At 40.3% G+C, this 17,823-nt stretch overlaps 1 protein-coding gene across 21 annotated transcripts in view, besides 2 other annotated features; it reads right to left on the minus strand.

Annotated features, from left to right (window-relative positions):
* DMXL2 (Dmx like 2) overlaps window positions 1–16,690 on the minus strand; it is a 174,981-nt gene extending 158,291 nt beyond the window's left edge. For 20 of the 21 annotated variants that reach the window (NR_165648.1, NR_165649.1, XR_007064435.1 and 17 more), the window contains exon 1: window positions 16,378–16,690. Coding sequence is in view for 17 of the 21 variants with exons in the window: in NM_001378460.1 (NP_001365389.1) it covers window positions 16,378–16,464 (87 nt within the window). In the remaining 4 variants the exon portion in view is untranslated. Of the gene's footprint in view, window positions 1–15,970; window positions 16,134–16,377 lie in introns of those variants that run through there. The other variant, XM_047432317.1, reaches the window with a different exon arrangement.
* Window positions 15,828–16,237: an enhancer, noted in NCBI's record as "active region_9404". NCBI's record gives its function as "activates an Ori minimal core promoter by ATAC-STARR-seq in GM12878 lymphoblastoid cells {active_cell/tissue: GM12878}" and the evidence as "EXISTENCE:reporter gene assay evidence [ECO:0000049][PMID:35858748]".
* Window positions 16,608–16,827: a silencer, noted in NCBI's record as "silent region_6432". NCBI's record gives its function as "represses an Ori minimal core promoter by ATAC-STARR-seq in GM12878 lymphoblastoid cells {active_cell/tissue: GM12878}" and the evidence as "EXISTENCE:reporter gene assay evidence [ECO:0000049][PMID:35858748]".

Consider the following 17,823-nt stretch of genomic DNA (forward strand, 5'->3'; position numbering starts at 1 on the left):
CTGACAAAAGATGGGACTCCAATAAACTACCCAACACTTTAAACTGAAATCTTGAAGATTAATCCACATAACATTAGAGACCTAGAATTAAACCAACACACTTATAGAGATTTTGTATGTGTGTGTGTGGGGGTGTGGATGTGAGATGGGAGTTTTGTTCTTGTCGCCCAGGCTGGAGTGCAGTGGCGCGATCTCAGCTCACTGCAACCTCTGCCTCCCGGGTTCAAGCAATTCTTCTGCCTCAGCCTCCCGAGTAGCTGGGACGACGCTATGCCCAGCTAATTTCGTATTTTTAGTAGAGACAGGGTTTCACCAGTTGACCAGGCTGGTCTCGAACTCCTGACCTCAGGTTATCCACGCACCACAGCCTCCCAAAGTGCTGGGATTACAGGCATGAGCCATGGCGCCCGGCCACTTGTAGAGATTCGCATCTGTCTTTGCATCATTTAGATGGTTTAGAAAATTTCAAGCCTTGCGCTTGAATTAATGTCTTCCCTAAACAGTAAAATCCCCAAGACATGTCACCTAATTAAATTAAAATTCCCTTTTGGGTAAGATACCACCATCTTGGGCCTTAGGTTATTCCTAAAAGTCTTTTTTCAAATACACAAAGTCAACAATATCTATCACACAAGGAAAAAAGACCTCATGAAAGAACCAGTGTAACAACCAAAACTAAGAACTTACGGATGGCTTTAACAGCAAATTAGACATGGCTGAATATAGGATTTGCAAATTGATTAGAAAAAAACATCTAGAATGTTGCACAAAAGGATAAAAAGATAGAAAACATGGGGCCGGGCAAGGTGGCTCAGGCCTGTAATCCCAGCACTTTCGGAGGCCAAGGTGGGCAGATCACCTGAGGTCAGAGTTCGAGACCAGCCTAGCCAACATGGCGAAACCCTGTCCCTACTAAAAATTTAAAAATTAGCTAGGCATGGTGATGGATGCCTGTAATCCCAGCTACTCGGGAGGCTGAGGCAGGAGAATCGCTTGAACCTGGGAGGTGGAACTTGCAGTAAGCTGAGATTGCTCCACTGCACTCCAGAGCCTGGGTGACAGAGTGAGACTCTGCCCCCACCAAAAAAAAAAAGGCCGGGCGCGGTGGCTCACGTCTGTAATCCCAGCACTTTGGGAGGCCGAGGCAGGCGGATCACAAGGTCAGGAAATCAAGACCATCCTGGCTAACACAGTGAAACCCCGTCTCTACTAAAAATACAAAAAATTAGCCAGGCACGGTGGCAGGTGCCTGTAGTCCCAGCTACTCGGGAGGCTGAGGCAGAAGAATGGCTCGAACCCGGGAGGCAGAGCTTGCAGTGAGCCGAGACCGCACCATTGCACTCCAGCCTGAGCGACAGAGCGAGACTCCGTCTCAAAAAAAGAAAAAAGAAAAAAAAAGATAGAAAACATGGCAAAAGGTATTAGTCACAGAAATAAAGTCAGAAAGTCTGAAACATATTTATTTGTTTTATAAGGTCAATCAGGGCAGAGGCAATATTTGAAGAAACAGCTGAAATTTTTCAATAAATGATGAAAGATATTAATTTACAGATTTGAAAACTCCCAAGCAGATTTTTTAAATGTATACATAGACCAAACACAGCAAAACTTCAGAAACACAAAGGAAAAAAATCTCAAAGGCAACTAAGAGAAAAAAATATATAACTTTCAAAGAACCAACAGTAAATTAGCAGTTTACGTCTCAACAGAAACAGTAGAGACCAGAAGACTATAATCCTCAAGGTGCTGAAAGAAAACACTGCCATGCTCTACCTACCTGTCTACCTGCTAAAAGACAGCAAAACGGCCTTTCAAGAATGAAACAAAATAGGCTGGGCTCACACCTGTAATCCCAGCACTTTTGGAGGCTGAGGTGGGCAGACTGCTTGAGGTCAGGAGTTCAAGACCAGCCTGGCCAACATGGTGAAACCCTTCTCTCCTAAAAATACAAAAATTAGCCAGATGTGGTGGTGCGCACCTGTAATCCCAGCTACTTGGGAGGCTGAGGCAGGAGAACCACGTGAACCTGGGAGGCGGAGGTTGCAGTGAGCCAAGATCACACCACTACACTCCAGCCTGGGCAACAGAGCAAGACTCAGTCTCAAAAAAAAAAGAATGAAACAAAATAAAAACAGAACTACAATTCAACCCAGCAATCCCATTATTGGGTATATGGCCAAAGGAATATAAATCGTTATACCATGAAGACGCATGCATGCGTATGTCCACTGCAGCACTATTCACAATTGCAAAGACAGGGAATCAACCTAGATGCCCATCAATAATAGACTGGATAAAGAAAATGTGGTACACATATGCCACAGAATACTATGCAGCCAAAAAAATGAGATCATGTCCTTTGCAAGAACATGTATGTAGTTGGAGGCCATTATCCTAAGTAAACTAAGGCAGAAACAGAAAACCAAATACCACATATTCTCATTTATAAGTGGAAGCTAAACACTGAGTACACATGGACACAAAGAAGGGAACAATAGATGCCACAGCATACTTAAGAGTGGAAGGAAGGAAGAGGGAGAGGATCAAAAAACTACCTATCGGGAACTATACTTATTACCTGGGTGACAAAATAATCTGTACACCAAACCAAGCAACACACAACTTACCTGTATAATAAACCTGCACATGTACCCCTGAAACTAAAAGTTTAAAAAAGAATGAAAAAAAAAGGCTTTTTTAGACAAACAAAAGACAACATTACAACACTAACAGATTGATACCAAGGAAATTCTAATGGAGATTCTCCAGGAAGAAGGAAAATGATCTCAAATGGAATGTAAGAGAGGAAGGAAGAAACGAAGAGCAAAGTAACATATGGGTAAATCTAAGTAAGCATTGACTCTGTAAAATAATAATGTCTTCCAGGGTTATAAAAATAGGCTTACCATAGAAGGATATATTATAAGCAGGAAGGGAGTTAAAAAGCAATACAAAAGGTTCTTGAATTGTCTACAAAGAATGTAAACCCTCATAAGGCTTCAATAAGTGAAATAAGTTAAGAATGCATCCTGTAATTTCTAGAGTAACTAGCAAAAGAATAGAAACAGAATATGGAGTCTTAGGACTAGAGGGAAAAAACTGAATGAAAAAATTCATTTCAAAAGACACAAGAAAGGAGAAAAAGGAGCAAAGAACAAAAGGAACAAATAAAAAGCACATAGTAAGATTGTGAATTTAAACACAAACATGCCAGTAATTACATTAAGTATAAATGAAGTGAAAGTTCTAGTGAACACAGAAATTGTCAGGCTGTATTTTTAAAAATCCAACTATGTTTTACAGTCATGTGCCACGTAACATTCTACAACGGACCCGGTCTACAATGGACCACACATAAACTATGATGGTGGTCCCATAAGATTATAATGCCATATTTTCACTGTACCTTTTCTACATTTAGATATGTTTAGATACACAAATACCAATGCAGTACAACTGGGTACATTATTCAGTACAGTAACAGGCTATATAGCTTTGTAGCCTGGGAGCAACAGGCTATACCATATAGCCTAGATATGTTCTAGGCTATACTATCTACGTTTGTGGCCGGGTGTGGTGGCTCACGCCTGTAATCCCTGCACTTTGGGAGGCCAAGGAGGATGGATCACCTGAGGTCAGGAGTTTGAGACCAGCCTGGCCAACATGGTGAAACCCCACCTCTACTAAAAATACAAAAATTAGCCAGGCATGGTGGTACATGCCTGTAATTCCAGCTATTTGGGAGGTTGAGGCAGGAAAATCACTTAAACCCGGGAGAACGGAGGTTGCAGTGAGCAGAGATTGCGCCATTGCACTCCAGCCTGGGCAACAAGAGTGAAAGTCAGTCTTAAAAAAAAAAAAAAAAACTATCTAGGTTTGTGTAAGTACACTTTATGATGTTTGCACGACGATGAAATTGCCTAGCAATATATTGAATGCATCTTCATTGTTAATCAATGCATCACTGTATTTGGAAGAACGATCTGAAACGTAACTATGCAGAAAAGTTGAAGTAAAAAGATAAGACTGTACAAATGCCAACCAAAGAAAGCTAATAAAACTATATTAATGCCAGAGAAAGTACACTGCAGAAGCACTGTTAGAAATCAAAAAGGGTTACTTCCTAATGATCAACAGATCAATTCACCAAGAAGATATAATAATTTTAAACTTGTAAGCACAAATAAATAAAACAAAATTAACAAAACCACAAGATAGGAATAAATGCATATTTATAGTAGATTTTAACACATCTCTCAGCAAAATGAATAAGCAGACAGAAAAGCGGTAAAGTTTTAGGAGATTTAAAGAACATGATTAACAACCTTGACCTAAAATATATAAAATTCTGTCCAACAATTGAAGAGGACACATTTTCTTTAAGCACATATGAAACACTTATAAAGGCCAGGCACGGTGGCTCACGCCTGTAATCCCAGAACTTTGGGAGGCCGAGGCGGGCAGATCATGAGGTCAGGAGATCGAGACCATCCTGGCTAACATGGTGAAACCCCGTCTCCAATAAAAATACAAAAAATTAGCCGGGCATGGTGGCCGGTGCCTGTAGTCCCAGCTACTTGGGAGGCTAAGGCAGGAGAATGGCATGAACCCAGGAGACAGAGCTTGCAGTGAGCCGAGATCGCGCCACTGCACTCCAGCCTGGGCGACAGAGCGAGACTCCATCTCAAAAAAAAAAAAAAACTTATAAAAACTGACCAACTGAAATTTCAATAAACTTAAAAAGACTAGAAGTACATACCGCATGCCACTTGCACACAATACAGCTATGCTAGAAATTAGTAAGCATATTTGTAACTTTAAAAGTCTCATATATTCAGAAATTTACTTCCAAATTACTTATGAGTGCATGGTTTTAAAAACAGCTTTGTAGAATGCAGAGAATGCAGATCTTGGAAGAAAACGTACATTCTAAATTCATCTATTAGGGAGAAAGACAAAAATGAGCTAAGCATTTAGCTCAATAAGGTAGGGGAAAAACAGCACAATTAATATAATATAGAAGAAAGGAAATAATAAATTAAGAAAAACATTAATAAAATAGAAAATAAGTATATAACAGAGAGAAGTGGTAAAGCTAAAGTGGGTTCTTTAAAAAAGATTAATAAAGTTGATAAACCTTTGCTGAAGAAAAAGGGAGAGGCACAAATAACCAATGGCAGTAATGACAAAAGAAGCAACAGAGATGCTGCAGACCTAAGAAGATATTAAGAGGCCGCTGTGAACAACTTTATACTCATAAATTTGAAAATCTACACAAAATAGAATAAATTATTAGCAAAATAACTACCCAAAAATCATTCAAGAAAGAAAATTACAGGTAAACATTCTCAAATCAGTAATAATATGAGCTTCCTCCATGAGGCCTCAGTCCAATTTACCAAAATGTTAAGTGGGGTTATCTCTGGATTGTGCCATTATAAATGATTTTCTCTTTCTTCAGCATTTTTCAAATTATCTACAAGGGCATATGTTACTTTTTACATCTTGCGGGGTGGGAGGGAGAAATGGGAGCTTTGTGTTCCAGTCTTAATTCTATCACAGTACTAACTAGGTGGCCTTCATTAAATCATTTAACTTCTCAAAAGTATTAGTATCCCCATCTATGAAATTGAGAGGTGAAGCTAGCTGGACTTCCTGGGTCGAATGGGGACTTGGAGAACTTTTCTGTCTTACAAGAGGATTGTAAAATGCACCAATCAGCGCTCTGTAAAACACACCAATCAGCAGGATCCTAAAAGTAGCCAATTGCAGGGAGGACTGAAAAAGGGGCATTCTGATAGCACAGAAACAGAACACAGGAGGGGACAAGTAAGGGAATAAAAGCTGGCTACCACAGCCAGTAGCGGCAACCCGCTCGGGTCCCCTTCCATGCTGTGGAAGCTTTGTCCTTTTGCTTTGCACAGTAAACCTTGCTACCACTCTTTCTTTGGGTCCATGCCATCTTTAAGAGCTGTAACATTGACCGCGAAGGTCTGCGGCTCCATTCTTGAAGTCAGGAAGACCACGAACCCACTGGCAGGAACCAATTCCAGACACAAAATGAAGATACTAGACTAGATTTAATTTGTAAAGCAGACTTAATTTCACGTACCAATTTAATATACAAGATAAATATTAATCCTACTACTTTTAAAAATTGCCTTGTTTTCTATATACCAACCACATAGAGATAGCACTATTTAATACTGCCAGGAAGAATGGCTATAGTTCAATTATTCCATAATCAAATCGTCACATTAGTACATGATCCCCAATTTAACTAATTTATAGCTAATAACAATATCGGGGGAAATTCACCCCCAATATTTCATATAGGTTATTTTCTATTTTCCCTAAGTGTCGGCCAGTCTGGGAAATAAAGGGAAAGAGTACAAAAGAGAAATTTTAAAGCTGGGTGTCCGGGGGAGACATCACATGTCAGCAGGTTCCGTGATGCCCCCCAAGCCGCAAAACCAGCAAGTTTTTATTAGTGATTTTCAAAAGGGGAGGGAGTGTACGAATAGGGTGTGGGTCACAGAGATCATATGCTTCACAAGGTAATAAAATATCACAAGACAAATGGAGGCAGGGCAAGATCTCAGGACCGGGTTGAAATTAAAATTGCTAATGAAGTTTCGGGCATGCATTGTCATTGAAAACATCTTATCAGGAGACAGGGTTTGAGAGCAGACAACCAGTCTGACCAATATTTATTAGGTGGGAATTTCCTCATCCTAATAAGCCTGGGAGCACTAAGGGAGACCAGGGCTTATTTCATCCCCCATCTATGACCGTAAAAGACAGCCAGCCCCAAAGCAGCCATTTTAGAGGCCTCCCCTTAGGGACGCCTTCTCTTTCTCAGGGATGTTCCTTGCTGAGAAAAAGAATTCAGCGATATTTCTCCTATTTGCTTTTGAAAGTAGAGAAATATGGCTCTGTTCCACCCAGCCCACAGGCAGCCAGACTTTAAGGTTATCTCCCTTGTTCCCTGAACATTGCTGTTATCCTGTTCTTTTTTCAAGGTGCCCAGATTTCATATTGTTTAAACAATTTGTGCAGTTAATGCAATCATCACAGGGTCCTGAGGAGACATTCATCCTCAGCTTACGAAGATGACGGGATTAAGAGATTAAAGTAAAGACAGGCATAGGAAATCATAAGAGTATTGACTGGGGAAGTGATAAATGTCCATGAAATCTTCACAATTTATGTTCAGAGACTGCAGTAAAGACAGGTGTAAGAAATTATGAAAGTATTAATTTGGGGAACTAATAAATGTCCATGAAATCTTCACAATTTATGTTCTTCTGCCATAGCTTCAGCCTGTCCCTCCGTTTAGGGTCCTTGACTTCCTGCAACATAACAACATACACCAAGTCCTCTTATACAACAGTACACTTCAATAGCTAGTTTATCCTGTATGCACAATGTCTAGGTGCCAAAATATTTTTTGAATAAAGGATAACCAGTAAGTTATACGAATTCTTCTGGGAACTGGAAACTTTCAGTTTTACTTTCTATATTTCAACACTGTTGGAATTATAACTTTTTTACAATGCAGATATTATATTAATTTTTTAAACCAAAAAAATCTGAATTCTTTGGGGTTTTTATTTGCTTTTTGCTTCTAATGGCCAAACTGTGCTTGTAATTATGTCTATATAAAATTTGTCCAGCATAAAATTATCACAGTCATGTTTGAATTTTCCATTTGTCCACATATTAGCATATTCTTAAAATTTCTTTAACAGAATCTTGCTTCTATCCAAGAGTACTCCTTTGGTTGAGCTGAGATTACCACCAAGTAGGGTGGCCACCTCAATCATGTCTTTGCTAGGCTCCTCAATTTTCAATTCCAGGACCAGCTCAGCTGATTGTTAACATGTGTTGTGGACTATATTGTGTAACCCCAAAATTCATAGCTTGAAACTCTAACTACCAACGTGACTGTGTTTGGAGGTAAGGCCTTTCAAGAGGTAATATAAGGTTAAATGAGATCTTAAGGGTGGGGCCCTATAAGACTAGCGTCCCTAAGAAGAGAAAAAGACACCGCAAGTGCATGTACACAAAGGAAAAGCCATATGAGGAAATAACAAGAAGGGGGCAATGTACAAGACAAGGAGAAAGTCCTCCAGATAAACCAAATCTGCTGACACATAGATCTTGGACTTCCAAACTCCAGAACTGTGAGGAAAAAAAATCTGTTGTTTAAGCTACCCAGTCTGTATTATTTTGTTATGGCAGCCCCAGCAAATTAATACAACATATTAAACTCCTAAAGTACAGAATCTCTACACTCCAGGTATTTGTCAGGCTAATCTCTAATTCATTATATACTTAAGTCTTTCAAAAGCACCACTGAGGAAAATTTGAGAACCACCTGTCAATTCCTCCTGATACATTAATATATATCCTTGGAGTAAACCAGGGCAGCACAGCTTTACACCTATATTATATCAAAGCTCTCTGCCTTCATCGTATAAAATTGATTTTTCTAAATATGACTTAATGCCACTGACCTATACCAAGAAGTATTATAAAAAAATAGCCTTATGAAAAGATCACTGTTTTTACTATGTGTGTATTACACTAAGTATCCTTTCCATTTACTAATTTATTGAGTACTTTTTTGTACCACCTTCTGTTTTAGGTGCTAAAGAAATAGCAATAGAGGGCATTGCAGGCACTCAGGTTTTTATTCTGAGTGGAAAAAAAAGCCACGTGAAAGTCTGGAATAAGGGGCTAACAAGATTTTATTTGTATTTTAACAGGAGCATTCTAGCTACTATGTTGAAAATAAACTGAAGGAGGATAGGCTAGAGTCAGAAAAGGCAGGAAGACCATTTAAGATTCAACTGCCATTATCCAGGGGAAAAAAATGATGCTGTCTTGCACCAAGGTGGCAGCAGTAGAGATAAGAAGTAATCAGATTCTGGACGCATTTTGAAGGTATAACCATTAGAATTTGCTAACATTAGATACGGGACATAAATGGAAGAGAAAAGGTAGATTACAAGGAAAGTAAAGAAAAGTGGAGTTGCTATTTATTGATTTAGGGAAGACTGGAAGAGGAAAATGTTATGAGGTCTTTGTGATAGCTATTAGACCTTCAAGGAGGAGATGTCAAAGAAACAGCTGAGTATACAAATCTGGAATCAGGCTGAGAAGAAGCAATTAAGCATGGTAGGAGAAAACTAAGAAGGCTAAATGAAGACAGTGTTTCAATAGAGCAGAAAAAGCATTTTTATGAGAGAAGGGAGAAACTGCTAGAATCATGCACTTGAGTAGGAAAGAGAGATGCAAACCGTAAGGTACAAATCAGGGTTTGTCACAACTTCAGTACTACTGACATTTTGGGCTTGGTAACTCTTCATTGTGGAGGACTATCCCGTGCACTGTAGGACGTTTTATCTAAATCTCTGGCCTCTCCTCACTAGTTGGCAGTACCAATTCCCCACCTCCAGTCACAGCAATCAAAAATGTCTCCAGACACTGCCAAATGTCTCCTGGTGGACAAAATCACACCCAATTTAGAACCTAAATGGAGGAAGTGGCCTTTGCTGAAAACATTGGTTATTCATCCACATAAAAGGAATGATGGGAGTTATTATGGGAAAGGTACATGATGATAATATGATTACCTCCTGCTGATTAGATCCTCTTAAGTGTGGATGCAGTCAAGGCCAGAGATGATATGAAGAAGTTGCTAGCACAAAACCAAAATCATTACTCCTAAGAAAATGTATGGAATTTTGTTTTTGAACTACAGCTAACGGATGAGCTACATATATCTGTGAAATGAGTCTAAGCCAGAATGTTTATGAGTTTTTTGTGTCCATCTATGCTTACTTGCAAAACACACTTACGACTTTTTGAGTTTCTCCTTAGATCACAAGAAGAAAACACTACTGATTTAGTACGAACCAATGGGTTTCTCCTAAAATCACAGGAAGAAAACAACAATTATTTAGTATGAATTAAATTAAATGTTATTACTCCCAAGGCTCAGTTTTTAGAAGACAGTGGACCTAAAGGAACATCTCTCCAATGATAATCCATCTAAGAGGGTATTATTTATTCCCCTAAAATCACTCCCACCAAATTACCATGTATATTATTTAGAGGGGCCTAACTCTGTTTTCTGTATCTGAAAGAGATAAATGATAACCATTACATTTTTTAGGTGTTCAGGACTAGGGGTAGATAGCATTAAAGGAAGCCTCAGGAATCATGAAATGAGAGGATTTGAGAGTAAAACTTGCAGGCAAACGAAAAAAAAAGAAATTTAAGAAAACAAAAACCCACACACACAAAAATAAGAAGTGCAGGCAACTGGTTTCATATTTACATCAAATTCCAGGATTACATGAGCTATCTTTAAGAGAGAGTGAATATAGTCATGTCACCTTTGTTAAGATGTACTTGTCCCTCAATACCAAGTTACATCATGGATCAGGGTTTCAGAGCACTAACATAATGCAAAAGGATTCTACAAACTCGAAAGGACTGAAAACCCTAAAACTTCTACTGAAATATTTGGCTTCCAAATTTGTTTTAAAAAATTACTGACAAATGGCCGGGTGCAGTGGCTCATGCCTATAATCCCAATACCTTGGGAGGCTGAGGCAGGAGGATCACTTGAGGTCAAGAGTTCAAGCCAGCCTGGCCAACATCGTGAAATCCTGTCTCTACTAAAAATACAAAAATTAGCCTGGCATGGTGGCACGCACCTGTAATTCCAGCTACTCAGGAGGCTGAGGCAGGAGAATCGCTTGAACCTAGGAGATGGAGGTTGTGGTGAGCAGAGGTTGCACCACTGCACTCCAGCCTGGGTGACAGAGTGAGACTCCATCTAAAAAAAAAAAAAAAAAAAAAAAAACTGACAAGCTAGAGAAGTCTGACTAAATCTGAATTTTAGATATTCTATATTATATCCCATTTTAAGTACTGCCTTGGTTTCACAGAAGGAAATTAAATTGGTCAGGCATGACTTGTTTTTCTACTGTGCCATTATGGTTGTCACCCAACATCCTGTGCTCTTTCAGATAATTAAATACTGAGACTCTGATTTGTTCTAAAAATTTACCAAGATCCAAGTTAAGATAATCTGATTATAATTTCTAAAGTAATATTTTAAATAGCCCAAATCCTAAGAACAGAAACTAAAATAAAGGCATTGCACGGGAAAAGGAAAGCTGCGAAAGGAGAACCTAAACACCATCACACTGGTCCCATCTCCCACCCAATACTGTACTATGACAGTCGCAGGCAACTATCATCTGCCAGGTGCCAAGGACCAAAACCTAATCAAGAGGCTTCTCCTCAGCTGTAAGCCCAAAGACTCATTCCTAGACCCACTACTTCATAAATGCTCTGAATGGCCTATCTACTGAGCCAGAAAGGAGGTCAGACTCCCCGACTGTGAGGTCTGATCAAATCTTGTAAATACAAGTGAGATCTGATCAAGTCTTGTAAATACAAGTGAGAAGCAATATACGATAAAGACTCCAGACCTACAACTTCAACACAACCACTTTATGTTTCTAGTCCATTTTCTCTTTTGACCCCTGAAAATCTCTAGAGAAGTCCATATAATTTTCATTCGTGGTCTAAATACTTAAAGAATATCTTTAAGAACTTCTTTTACAGATCAAAGACCTAAACATGTTTAAGTGATTTCACCAACACCATACAAGTAGTTGGTCTCTGACCTCCCATTTTTGGGGAAGACATTATTCAGAACCTTACCAGAGTTTCTGAGTAGTTGCTAGGAGTCTTCTTGCTACAAGCAAGAAGGCTAATTAACAATCTACGCAGGGACATAAGAACTTATAAACCCTATATTCACTTACTGGTTGACACTAAGCCCAAGCCCACAAGGTTTTAAATGTATCCGTTTAAACAAACAAGAAGCTACACTCCAAGAACAAAAAGGCCAATTTCTCTTAGAAAACAAGTCCATTCTAAATTCTTGACTTCTGTCTTTCACTTTCCTCTCAGCACAGGTTAACACATTAATAACCAGCCAGTACAGAAGCATGTTTCTAACCAACCCCTTGATTCCCCTGGCCAAAAGTTCTCTTAGTCTTCCTGAATTCCCACTTAAATGCTGGTAATATTGCACAGCTGGCCTACTGTGGTTAGGTATGTGTCTTTTACTCTCGTATTAGACTACCAGGTTCCTACACTTCTTCAATAAACTCCCTGAAATCAAGACTATGTCTTGTAATTCTTTTTTTTTTTTTTTAATACCCACAAAGCTTAGCACACCTATGTGTTCAACATTTGCTAAATGTATAAACTGGTTGATCATTTTCAAGGTTTGGTGTTACCATAACTCTAGGACTGAAATTTTATTCTACAATAGAGTTAAGACATATCTAAATGCCATAAAAGAGGTTATACAACATTATTTTCTAATTTTTAAATGAATGGTTTTCCATTTATTTCCAACCTTTTGTTGGTATTTTAATTTAAAAAAAAAATTGAATGTCAGAATACCAGGTACGTTTTCCTGAAAAGCTACAGGTAATGTTTGCATATTATATTTTTTCAACATTCTAAGAGTGTCTGTTATTTAATGAAGAAGTCCTGTGATTAAAAAGTAACTTTTGCAAAGAAAACAGTCACTCAATAATTTATCCTTCGTATTATGCCATTCCTTTGCTTCTGTTGTTCTTATCTTTCCAAACCTTACTCTTCCATAAAACCTCTTCTTGTTTTCCCAACTACAATCTCTTCCATCTGCCTTATGTTATAATTATATAAATCATTTTAATCTCTGCCAGTATATTATAAATTCCCTAAGAGTGCAAATGACTTACTAATTTTTGTAAACTTTGATCAATGTGTTGAAATCATGTCACACTGGAATAATAGTAACTGCCCCTATACATCTCAAAATAGTCTGCAAGCCTTAAGGCCAAATGAATTTTTAATTTAAAAAATCATCACGTATGATCATTATTTCAATTAATATTTTAATATGTGCAGTAAAGTTTAAAAAATAGCCAAGGACTATCTTTCAGAAAAGTAATAACATAAATAATGAGAAATTTACAATATCTGTTGCATAAACCCTCAAAACATTCACTGAAGGGTAGTAAGAAATGTCTTAAAGGCAAAATAAAGTATAATAAAGCTCATACACGGGAGAAGATCATCTCTTTGAACTACCAGAGATTTGACTTATTGCAGGATAACATTTCGAAAACCTAGATCTTACACTGAAAAGAACAAAATTGTTCAAAAGGTGATGTTTTAAAATGTGATATCTACAGCTACATTTACGAAATCACAATCGAATGTTTAAGGAAACAGCTGTATACTGCCTAAACACAAGTGAAAAGCATCATAGCTTACGTGATACCACTAAAACCACAGACATCAGCTGAGATTGTCCACTACAGACTGCAGTACCATGTCAATATTGCACAAATTGGGACATCACGACATCAAGTAGTCATTCACAGCCAACCAATCACGCCACCCACCATGCACAGCAAAATATATAACACACATTTCTTTCAATTATTACACTGTCATAAACTCAAAATCCTTTTAGAACAATTCTGTTCTTCAAAGATGTATCAATTTTAGACTCTGAAATAAAGTATGTATTGTATTTTGAAAAGGTTCTCAGGCTACCATGAAACACAACATCAGCTAAGAATCATGAGTTAGTTGCAAGACAGTAGTTCCTTCTACACTATGTCTGGGAGGCCTTCCATCCATCCACTAACCCACCTACGCACCCACACACCCTCTCCAGAGCAGGCACTCTGATATTAAGAAGGAAATACTACCAAGAAAAGCCCACACAATGAGAAGTCACAAGACCTTCATTCCAAGTCCTGGCTGGTCCCCCTTTTAATCATCTGATCCAGAACTAAAGTTTCTTCATCTGATTGCTCTAAAATCAAGTGACAGGCTCCATGAAGAGGAGCTTGCTTTTTATTTTTACTATTATATTACTTTATTTTATTTTACTATTATTACTATTTATTATTCCTATATTTACAAACATAGGAACTTAAGTATTTGTTAGTTGATTATATATAGACTGCTTGAAAGCAGCTTGTTTTTTGTTTTGTTTTGTTTTGTTTTTCAATCTGTTTTTCACAAAGCCCAAGAGATCATTTCTAGTTCATGGCAAAATTAAAACTGGATCAGTGCGCTCAAAACTAAGGTAGTTAAATGAGATGGTGTGCAAAATGGGTTTGTATTTACATTTGTCAAAAGACCAAAATAACAGTGTCACAGGCAGGCATCCTAAACCACGTAAATTTTGAGTCGAATTTGGAAACCCAAAAGGACTGTCTTGTTGCAACATAAAAATGCAGTTTAGAGTAAGAAGATCAGTATGTAACAGAGGGGCCAAAGTGAGGAGTACATATAATTAAAAATAAAGTCAAAGATGGAGAATACTTGACAAGTTTACATTTCCTAACACAGCTATTAAAAACAATTACATATTCTTAAGCCAAGAGTAATATAGTAAAATGACACTTGAAGAAAATTATCCTAGCAGCGGTGTGGAGGATGAAGAAGTTATCGGACATGACAGTTTTGAAAGCTTTTATATTAATACCAATAAGATTGTAAAATAAGGTGGTGGTTAAGGATATGAAAAGGAGTAAATCTGGTAGACAGTGCAGAGTCAACTAGACTTCGTGAAACGCTGAATTAGGGAAGTGCAAGAAGATTTGAAAATGACTCTAAGCATCTGGTCACAAGTGGCCTACAGCATAACCACACCTGCACAGCACTAACAGTTCTTACACAGGCTTTTCCAGGCTGCATCTGAACCCGTTTATTTAGTTCTACATACCAGACCTGCCGTGAGACAGCACTCCACTTTAGATGGAAGCAGAAAACTACCACCACCATTCTAGCAGGAAAATATAACCAAAGATTCCAGCTTTGTTTCTTGATGAAAGAGGCCCACTCTTCTAACCCTGAGGAACTTCCTATCTGCACTACTGGGGAACAGGGAAATTTCTTCTCTCTATCCCCAAAAACCAAGATTCTCCACACACTTGAAGACAAAGCTCAGCTCTATATGAATATTTTAAGTCACATGTACATAAAACACAGATGACAAAAGGGGTCGTTCTAAACTGGAGCTAGGCCAAGTGGATTACACTAAAAAATTAAAATGGCTAAAAAGCAATCTTCTGGGGTTAATGTATCACAAAACGTCAAAAAATAAATTCTGTTCCAGAATGCACTGCTACATAATGATTCTGCAGTTTTGCTGAAGCTTTATTTTCCGCAGTTTTAAAAACACTGTTGGAAAGCAGACATCAAAGGGTTTTCCTTGTCTAAAAAGCATACCATTACGGAATTTCCAGTTTTATCAAGAAGAACAGTTTACAAAATATATTTAATAAAGGTCTGGCTGCCTACAGTTCCTTATAAGGAAGACCATGTATAAATTTCATTCTTTAAAAAAGAACTCAATTTATGGGAGTCTATCTATGAGTAAACGAAGCTCCAAGGCTTGGTTTAAACATTTCCACTCTCAAAAAGGACTGATGAGTCCAATCTCCTTGAGAAACATGTCTACTTCATCTAGCTTTTAAGGAGATTCTAAAACGTTATGTATACATACACTTTTCTCAAACAAGCACTGTTGTAAATTTTTCACATTGCCTTACTATATTAAAAAAAAGGCTACCTTACAGATTAAAATATTATCTAGGAGGATTACCAAACTACGACCTCCTGATAAATGAGACAGCTCTCCAAGCCACTGTGACTCTAACCTTTCCATTCTAAATCTTTCGGGCGCGGAGGATGAATTTTTCTATCTTTTTGTTGGAATTAAGATCCTGCATTATCAGGAGATACAGAGTCAGGCTTAAAGCCACAGACTCCAGCAGCTCCTCGCTGCCCTAGCACAGCGGGCAGGGGGAGCCAAGGCGCAGCATCGCCTCCACGCTCCGAGACCAACACCAAGTCTCTTCACCTCCACGCTCCGAGACCAACACCAAGTCTCTTCGCCTCCACGCCGAGAGCAGCTGCGAAACGGACGCTCTGGGGTTTCAGCCGCACCACCACTTTCCTCCACCGCAGACCGAAGGGCCGCCCTAGGAGGAGCCTTCTAGTCCAGTCACCTCAGGCCCGTTTGCTTGGGGTGGAGAGTGCGGTGGATTCCTAAGCCTTTCCCCTAACGGGTGATTTCCTACACCAGACGCAGGACCCACGGTCCCACGGGTCCCAGGGGGAACTAAACCCCAAGGCTGCAAAGGGGCCACGGGTGGGGCCCACCAACATCTCACAGCCTCCTGAGGAGGCGTGCGCCCTGGACAGGAGGTCCCTGCCCCCGCGTCTGGCCCCTGGTATCTTCCCCTAGGGCTCCCGGCCGCCGCTCACCGTGAAGGGGACATCCCCGACGCTGCCCACGGAGTAGCAGTTGTCTCCAGGGTTGACAGCTCCGGTGAGGACCTGATGCAGATGCATCTCCGGAGCCCGGGCTGGACAGAATGCGCGGGAGGTGCGACAAGCTCCGCGCCTGACCCTCCTCGGGCTGCGAGAGCCGTTTCCCTCTGTGCCTCCCTCGGAAACCCGCCCCGCGGAGGCTCTGGCTTAACTCCTCGCCCCCCTTTCGCCTTCCCTCCGCCTCGTCCCTGCCATGGGAGCTCCTCGACCGCCGCCGCCGCCCGGGTCGCCGCTCAGCTGCGGAAATGCCCGGATGTTCCCACTGCCTGCTGCACCGGCGCACAAATGCGGGAGGGCAAGGGTGCTTGTGAGGCGGGGGAGGGCACCGGGGGGAACGCGCGAGCCGGGAGCGTGCAGCAAGGGAGCGGGCCAGCGCGCGCGCCCACCGCGGGGGAGCGAGGTAGAGCCCTCCCCCCGCGGCAAAGCTCTCAGCTCAGTCTTTCTTCCCCCCATCACCCGCGTTTGCGCGTGCGCGCGCCGTGGTTTCCAGGGCAATTGCGCGCGCCACGCCGACCCGCCGTCCCGTGATTGCGCGCGCAGACGTGCGGGAGTTCCCTTGGAGCCTCCCGGGCTGTAGCCGCTGCGGACTGGGGCGGAGGTGGGGGCGGGGGCGAGTGGGGTGCAGGTCGCTCGGGGCCACGCAGCAGTCGGACGCCGGGGACGCGCCACGAGCCGGTTTTGCTGTGTTGAACGTATTCCAGAATACAGTGTGCAATGGTCAGTGCCGTTGACCTCAGAAGGACACCCGTCACCGGGAATTTCCACCTGGAGATATCTTAGATATCTTCAGTCTTTTCGAAAGTGCAGTACATAAGATATTTTATTTTACATAAACAATGTAGGCATCTTGCAACTATTTAGAGAAGCCATACTCCCCTGAAAGCTAATTATTTTGCTCCCACCTTTTGTCACGGTTATTCTAGACAGCAAAAAGCCGCCTTAGAGACGGGTGACTCCTTTCGACTTTTTTTCATGAGTAATTTCATGAATTAGCAGAATCGCCTGATTTTCCAAACTATCTGCTAAACTTTGAATGGTTGATAACAAGGATCATCAGCTCCCTGCCACAGGCCAATTCATGGCAAATGTTCTAACCCATACTATGCTTAAATCACAGGGTAAGGAAGTAGGGGACACCAAGACATAACTATCTGTAAAACCAGGCAGAACGCCAAAGGTGGTGTGATTGAGATATAAAAGTCTTTATGCACCACAGAAGAGGAAGAAGAATGTTGACTAAGGGCGTGGATAAGGCATTATGGAGACATAACCTGACATAAACGCTGAGTTTAATTTTGACAGGCTGAGATAGACAAGAAATGCTGCAAATACAGTACAGAAAATAGAGGGGGTGTTGAAGGTACAAAGATTAATGTTTGA

Source organism: Homo sapiens, chromosome 15 (assembly GCF_000001405.40).
Source record: "Homo sapiens chromosome 15, GRCh38.p14 Primary Assembly".
In the NCBI taxonomy this organism is placed as follows: domain Eukaryota; kingdom Metazoa; phylum Chordata; class Mammalia; order Primates; family Hominidae; genus Homo; species Homo sapiens.